At 34.4% G+C, this 6,777-nt stretch overlaps 2 annotated features.

Moving 5' to 3' along the window:
• Positions 300 to 1,499: an enhancer, noted in NCBI's record as "CDK7 strongly-dependent group 2 enhancer chr6:145218575-145219774 (GRCh37/hg19 assembly coordinates)". NCBI's record gives its function as "activates an origin of replication core promoter dependent on BRD2, BRD4, P300/CBP, MED14 and CDK7 cofactors, with strong dependence on CDK7, by STARR-seq in HCT116 cells {active_cell/tissue: HCT116}" and the evidence as "EXISTENCE:reporter gene assay evidence [ECO:0000049][PMID:35650434]".
• Positions 474 to 768: a silencer, noted in NCBI's record as "tiled region #14510; K562 Repressive DNase unmatched - State 24:Quies". NCBI's record gives its function as "represses a minimal TATA promoter and a strong SV40 promoter by Sharpr-MPRA in K562 cells {active_cell/tissue: K562}" and the evidence as "EXISTENCE:reporter gene assay evidence [ECO:0000049][PMID:27701403]".

The following is a 6,777-nucleotide window of genomic DNA, read 5'->3' on the forward strand; positions in this document are numbered from 1 at the left end:
CTAGTGTCTCTGTGTGTCCAAATTTCTTCTTCTTATAAGGACACCAGTCATTTTGGGTTAGGGTTTACCCTAATGGCTTTATTTTAATTAGTCATCTCATTAAAAGCTCTATCTATCTCCAAATATAGTCACAATCTAAGGTATTAGAGGGATTAGCACTTTTAACATATGAATTTTGGAAGGTCAGTCTCAAATCCATCTCCCCGACCAACTGAATTGGGAGGTTTATACAGTGGGAAAGGAATGTAAAACAGGAATTAAGGAGGGGTAAGGAAGCAATTACGAAGAAAGAGGGGTCTGGCATCTCATTGAATGCAGGGTCTGATGAGTTTCAGTCCCTTGCCTGAGGGGGAACTCAGATGAGACAAATGTAAACTACAAGTTTTAAGACCAGAAGGGACAATGTCTGTGTTTATTCAAAACCTCGTAAACGTAATTTCTATGGGGCAATTGGGCTGGTTTTGCCTTCACCCATGAACTTGGCTTTTAAAGCTGAACTTCCTGCATGATGGGCCTCCTGTGGCCTGCAGAGCTCCAGTTCCTTCTCCATAGAGCCCAGCCCAGGAAGATTTGGTTTGCAGATGAGAAAAATGAAACAATAAAGATCAAGTGACTTTCCCAAGCTCACATTCCAGCAAGTGACAGAGCCATGATTCAGACCTCTTACTCAGCCCAGCCTTCCTTTCTTTACCCCACGTAGCCCATAGTCAACTATAGAATCAGTTGGAATCAATAACACCTCTGGCTTAGCATCCCGAAGGCTCACATCAGACCTTTAAAAAACATATTTTGAGAAAGTAGCCTCATCGGTCCTAAGTGTATTAAATCAACTGATTTGTCAATTGAGGATAGAATAATTTCTTCTTTTTCTGGTGACATAAATTTCTCACCTCCTTTAGGAAGAAGCATAGAGGAGGAATTCCGTATTTTCATCCTGATACCATTATGATTCCATTAATTAAATGGTGTGTTTCAAAGCCCTTACGGATCAGTCATGAAATTTCTGAGGCTCTGTGAAGGTCAAAGCCCTTTGTGGTCAGCACCTCTTATTTCCGTGGGTGAGTCAGAGGTTTTCTTCATGAATTGCCATAGCCTCACCTTTGATTTAAAATATTCAAAAAAGATGCTCTTAGTGTCTCTGATTCTTAAATCTATGATTCAGGGCCTTGTGCACTACTTCTTGTCATAGCCAAAACAGATTTTCTGAGGTTTTCTTTCATGATGAATTAGAAGTTGCTCTTGGATCTGACTTTGATCTCTGCTCTTGGTAGTTTCCTGAAAGTTTCTTCTAATTGATGAGTTAACTAGGAATCAGCCAATATATGGCTTTTATGACAAGGAAAGTTTACCTGCCTTTCTACTCCTATTTGTCTGCCAGGAGGAAATGTGCCTTGAGTTCTCTGAAAAGCAACAGACTCACCATGGAAAAACAAGTTTTCTTTCTCTATATTTGTTAAATACACATTCTTGAGAGCCCTATATCATAAATAATATTAAATATGTATCTCCTTATGCATTTATTTTTTAAAGCAATTTTATGGAGGTATAATTAAGATAAGATACAATGCGTAATTTTAAGGAAAAAGTTTAATGAGTTTTGTCAAATGTAAAGATGTAAACATCACCGCAGTCAAGGTAGAAAGTCTGACCATTATTCCCTAAATTTCCTTCTCATGCTTTGCAATTAATGGCCACACCCAACCTCAGCTTTAGGCAAGAATGAATCTGCTTTCTGCAATTATAGTTCTGCTTGTTTAGAAGTTTATGTAAATGAAATAAAGCAGGGGTTCTGGAATCTTTGGGGTCTGGATTCTTTTGCTCAGCATTTAAAAATTTTATTTGGTGATTCATCCATGTCTTATGTGTAACAGACATTTATTCCTTTTTATCACTGAGTAATATTACATTGTACAAAGGTAACACCATCTGTTTATCTATTTACACTTCTATTAATTTTTTTGCAAAATAATTACTTGATATGTGATATTGGTAATTACTTGGTATGTAATTTATTCTATTTTCTTGAGTTAATATTTAGGAGTGAAATTACTGGGTTGTGTGGCAAGAGTAATTTAACTTACAGGAAACCATCAAACTATTTCCCAATGTGGTTGTGCCATTTTACATTCCCATCAATAGTATATGAGAGTTCCAGTTGGCCTGTATTCTGACACATGATATTGTCCGTCTTTTTAATTCCAGTCATTGCTGTGGGTTTATATTATTATCCCATTGCAGTTGTAATTTTGATTTTCTTGATGACTAATGATGTTGGGTATCTTTTCATGTGCTTTTTAGTCATTTTTAAATGTTTGTTTCAACATTTTTCCCATTTCTATTAGGTTATTTTTCTTTTAATTGCATTTACAACATTTAAAAAATAAATTCTAGGTATAAGTTGTCAGATACATGTATTGTGAAACTTTTCTGCCAGTGTGTAGCTTACCTTATTTTTTTTTAATGTTATCTCTCAAAGAACAGAGGTTTTTAATTTTAATGAAGTCCAATTTATCAATTTTTCTTTTATCCTTTGTGCTTCTTGTGTTCTATCTAAGACATTTTTACCTATCATGGTTACAAAGATATTTTCCTACATTATTTTCTAAGAGTTTAGTTTTTCTTTTACAAGTATTATCATTTAGCTTTTTTTTTTTTTTTTTTTTTTTTTGAGATAGAGTCTTGCTCTGTCGCCCAGGCTGGAGTGCAATGGCGTGATTTCAGCTCACTGCAACCTCTGGCTCCTGAGTTCAAGTGGTTCTCCTGCCTCAGCCTCCTGACTAGCTGGGATTTCAGGTGCCCACCACCACACCCAGCTAATTTTTGTATTTTTAGTAGAGACAGGGTTTCACCATGTTGGCCAAGCTGGTCTCAAACTCCTGACCTCAGGTGATCCGCCTGCCTTCACCTCCCAAAGTGCTGGGATTACAGGCGTGAGCCACTGCGCCCAGCCTATAATTAAGCTTTTATGTTTAGGTTAACACTTCAAATTAATTTTGTGTGTAATATGAAGTGGGGGTGAAGTTCTTTGACATTAAAAAAAAATTGTCTACTTTTGCAAACAATATTTTTTGAAAGGGCTGTTCTTTCCCAACTGACACTTTTTCAGAAATCAGTTGACTGTGTATGTGTATATGCCTATTTTTGGACCCTCTTCTATTACTCTGACCTATATTTGTATCTTTACTCCAAAAATATATTTTTGTTGATTTTTTATTACATGTCTTCAAAACCAAGTAGGATAAATCCTACAACTTTGTTCTTTTATTTTTTATTTTTTTAAATTTTCAGCCTTCGTATTTCTATAAAAATTGTAGAATACCATTACTAACTTCTATGATAAAAGAGCCTGCTGGGGTTTGGAATGCAGTTGTGATGAATCTGTAGATTAATTTGGGGAGAATGAATAGCTTAGCAATATTGAATCTTCTGGTTCATAAGCATGGTATAGTGCTCCATTTATGTTATTAGTAATTTTTTCAGTAATGTTTTAACATTTTTATTATGTGGGCTTTGCACATATTTTGTTAAATTTATCCACAAGTAGGTCATGTTATTGATACTTTTCTGAAATAAACTTTCATATTTTTAAAAATTTCACTTTTCAATTGTTTTTCCATAGTATTTAGAAATACAATTGATTGTTTGTATATTTATCTTATATCCTGGGATCTTACTAAATTCACTTATTAGTTCTTTGTAACTTGTGGTTTCTGAAGGATTTTCTATATCTGTGATTATGTCATCTGAAGATAATTTTATTTTTTTCTTCTCAATCCATATGCTTTTTATTTCTTTTCTTGCCTCATTGCATTGACTAGGCTGTTTAGTGCTATTTTGAATAGGAAGTAGTGAGAATAGAATCCTTGCTTCATTCCTGATTTTAGGTGAAAAGAATTTAGTCTTCATTAAGTATGAAGCTAACTGTAGGTTTCTTTGATGCACACACACACCCACACCCACACACACAGAGGTTTGGTATTTCTTAGGTTAGTTTTTATAATTCTCTCAGATTCGATTTGCTAAAATGTCTATTTTGCCTTCATTTTCTTTGGCAATTGAGTAAAATCAAATTTACTTGTTTATTTATGTGTTTATATTGAGATGAAATTCATGTAACATAAAATTAACCATTTTAAAGTGTACAGTTTGGTGAGACAGTACATTCACAATGTCATTCAACCATCACCTCTATCTAATTCCAAAATATTTTCATCACTCCCAAAGGAGACCCTGTACCTATTAAGCAATTATAGGCAACTCCCAATTCTCTCATACCCCCAGTCCCTGGCAAACACTAATTGGACTTAACTATTCTAGATAATTCATGTAAGTGGAATATACAATATATGACTTTCCATGTCTGCCTTCTCTAACTTAGCATAATGTTTTTGAGGTTGATTCACTTTATGGCACATATCAGTACTTCATTCATTTTTCTGGCTAAATAACATTCCATTGTATGGATATACCGCAATTTATTTATTCATTCATTTATCCATTGATGGGCATTTGGGTTGTTTCTACCTTTTGGCTGTTGTAAATAGTGCTGCTATGAATATTTGTGTACATCTGTTTGAATATCTGTTTTCAATTATTTTAGAAGTATATTGCTGGGCCATATGGTAATTCTATGTTTAACTTTTTGAACAACCACCAAATTGTCTTCCACAGTGGCTGCACAATTTTACATTTTTACCAGGAATGTATGAGGGTTCCAATATTTCCATATCCTTTTAAATCCCAACAAATGTTGGCACTTGAATTCCAAGTTGACAGTGTTTTCTTGCAGTGTTGGCACTTGGTGGGATTTAAAAATTCTTTTTATCATACCCATCCTAGGGGGTGCTAAGTGGTATATCCTGTTGTGTTTGATTTGCATTTCCTTAATGACTGAAAAGGGCTACTGGCATTATGGGAGGGATTGCATTCAATCTGTAGTTTGCTTTGGGGAATATTGCCATCTTGACAACTAAGTACTTCAACTCATGAACATAGATGTTTTTTCATTTTAGGTCTTCTTTAATTTCTTTCAGCAGCAATATTTTGTAGTTTTCAGTGTACATGTCTTGTACCTCCTTGATTAAATGTATTCCTAATTATTTTATTCTTTTTGATGCTGTTCTCAATGGATTTTTTTCCTTTCCAGTGAATGTCTTTCATTTCTTGTACTTGCTTAATTGCTCTGGTTAGAACTCCCAATCTAATACTGAATACAAATGCAAAAGTAGGCATCCTTATCTTTTTCTTGATCTTAGGAACAAAGCTTTCAGTCTTTTACCATTGAGTATATTAGCTATGGGTTTTTCATAGATGTCCTTTATCATGTTGAGGAAGTTCTCTTTCATTTCAAGTTTGTTAAGTGGTTTTATCATGTGTCAAATGCTTTTGTGTATCATTTAAGATAATCTTATTTATTTTCCTTCATTCCTTTAATACAATATATTACATGGATTGATTTTTATATGTTGAACCATCCTTGCTTTCCTGAGATTAATTCCACATGATTTACCTTTACTTTTGAAGGATATTTTTGCTAGCTGTAGAATTCCAAGTTGGCTGTGTTTTCTTGCATAAATTGAGAATATTATACCATTGTTTTCAAATGTGCTTTTATTCCCCTGATGTAAAGTCTATAGTCATTCTTTTTTCCTCTGTCTGCTTTGTAATTTTCTGGTCTTCAGCAGGTTTATTATGATGTGTCTTGGTGTGATTTTTGTTTGTTTCTTCTACTTGAGGTTTGTTCATTTTCTTGGATTTGTGGACTTATAGTTTCCATTACATTTGGAAAGTTTTTGTTCATAATTTATTCAAATAATTTCCTACACCCATTCCCTTCCTGTGGGACTTTAGTTGCACATGTATCAGACGATGACATTGTTCCAGAGTCACTAAGGAGCTATTTTTTAAAAAATTATTTTTTCTTTTTTCTCTGTGTGCTTTAGTTTGCATAGTTTCTATTGCCATGTTTTCAAGTCACTGATTTTGTTTTTTTCTAAACCTCTTCATCTGCTCAATGTAACGAGACTGCTGCTTTCTTTGTTTTCTCTCCCTGTGTGTCAATCCATGAAGTGCCTCCAAGCAGAACTCCAGAGTGAATGTAGCACTCACCTTGTTTGATTCCTTTTCTCTGGCATCACAGTCTTATACTGTTTGTTAGTACCTGAAGGTAATTGTTTCATATGTTTTATCCAGGTTTTAAGTAGTTTAAGTGGGTAAGAAATTTTGTTACTAGTTACTCCATCATGGCCAGAAGCACAACTCTCCTACTACTTTCTTTACTTAGTGCGTGAGTAATAGTTTGGCTTCAGCTTTTAACTAATTTCTTTAGTATAGATGTCTCTAAATGGTTACTTGCCTCTGAAATTGATAAATCAAGAGCTCTGTCTCCATGACTTTAGAGATTTCTAGTAGGAAGAAGAGAATATTTGACTTAAAGAACTGCATCAAACAAATGCAAAAATTCAATGATTTGTCTGAGGATCTGAGTCCTAAAAGTGTAGGAGAGAATGCACTATCCCACACTTAAGTCAGTCCGTTTGACAACACATTAGCTTCCATTCCTCCTGCCTACAAAGAGCAGGTATTGTCCCCAAGTGTTCCAAGAGACACCACCATCGCCAACAGTTAACCCTTCATAATCATTATCTTATTGCTCTTACTCATATTTCATGTGTCTGTCTATCCAGGGAGCACCATATGTAATTTGATTTAATACACAGCATGTAGAATGAATGATAAACTATAATCTCAAAGGAATTGGAAGGACATTATTAACAA

Source organism: Homo sapiens, chromosome 6 (assembly GCF_000001405.40).
Source record: "Homo sapiens chromosome 6, GRCh38.p14 Primary Assembly".
NCBI classification, from domain to species: domain Eukaryota; kingdom Metazoa; phylum Chordata; class Mammalia; order Primates; family Hominidae; genus Homo; species Homo sapiens.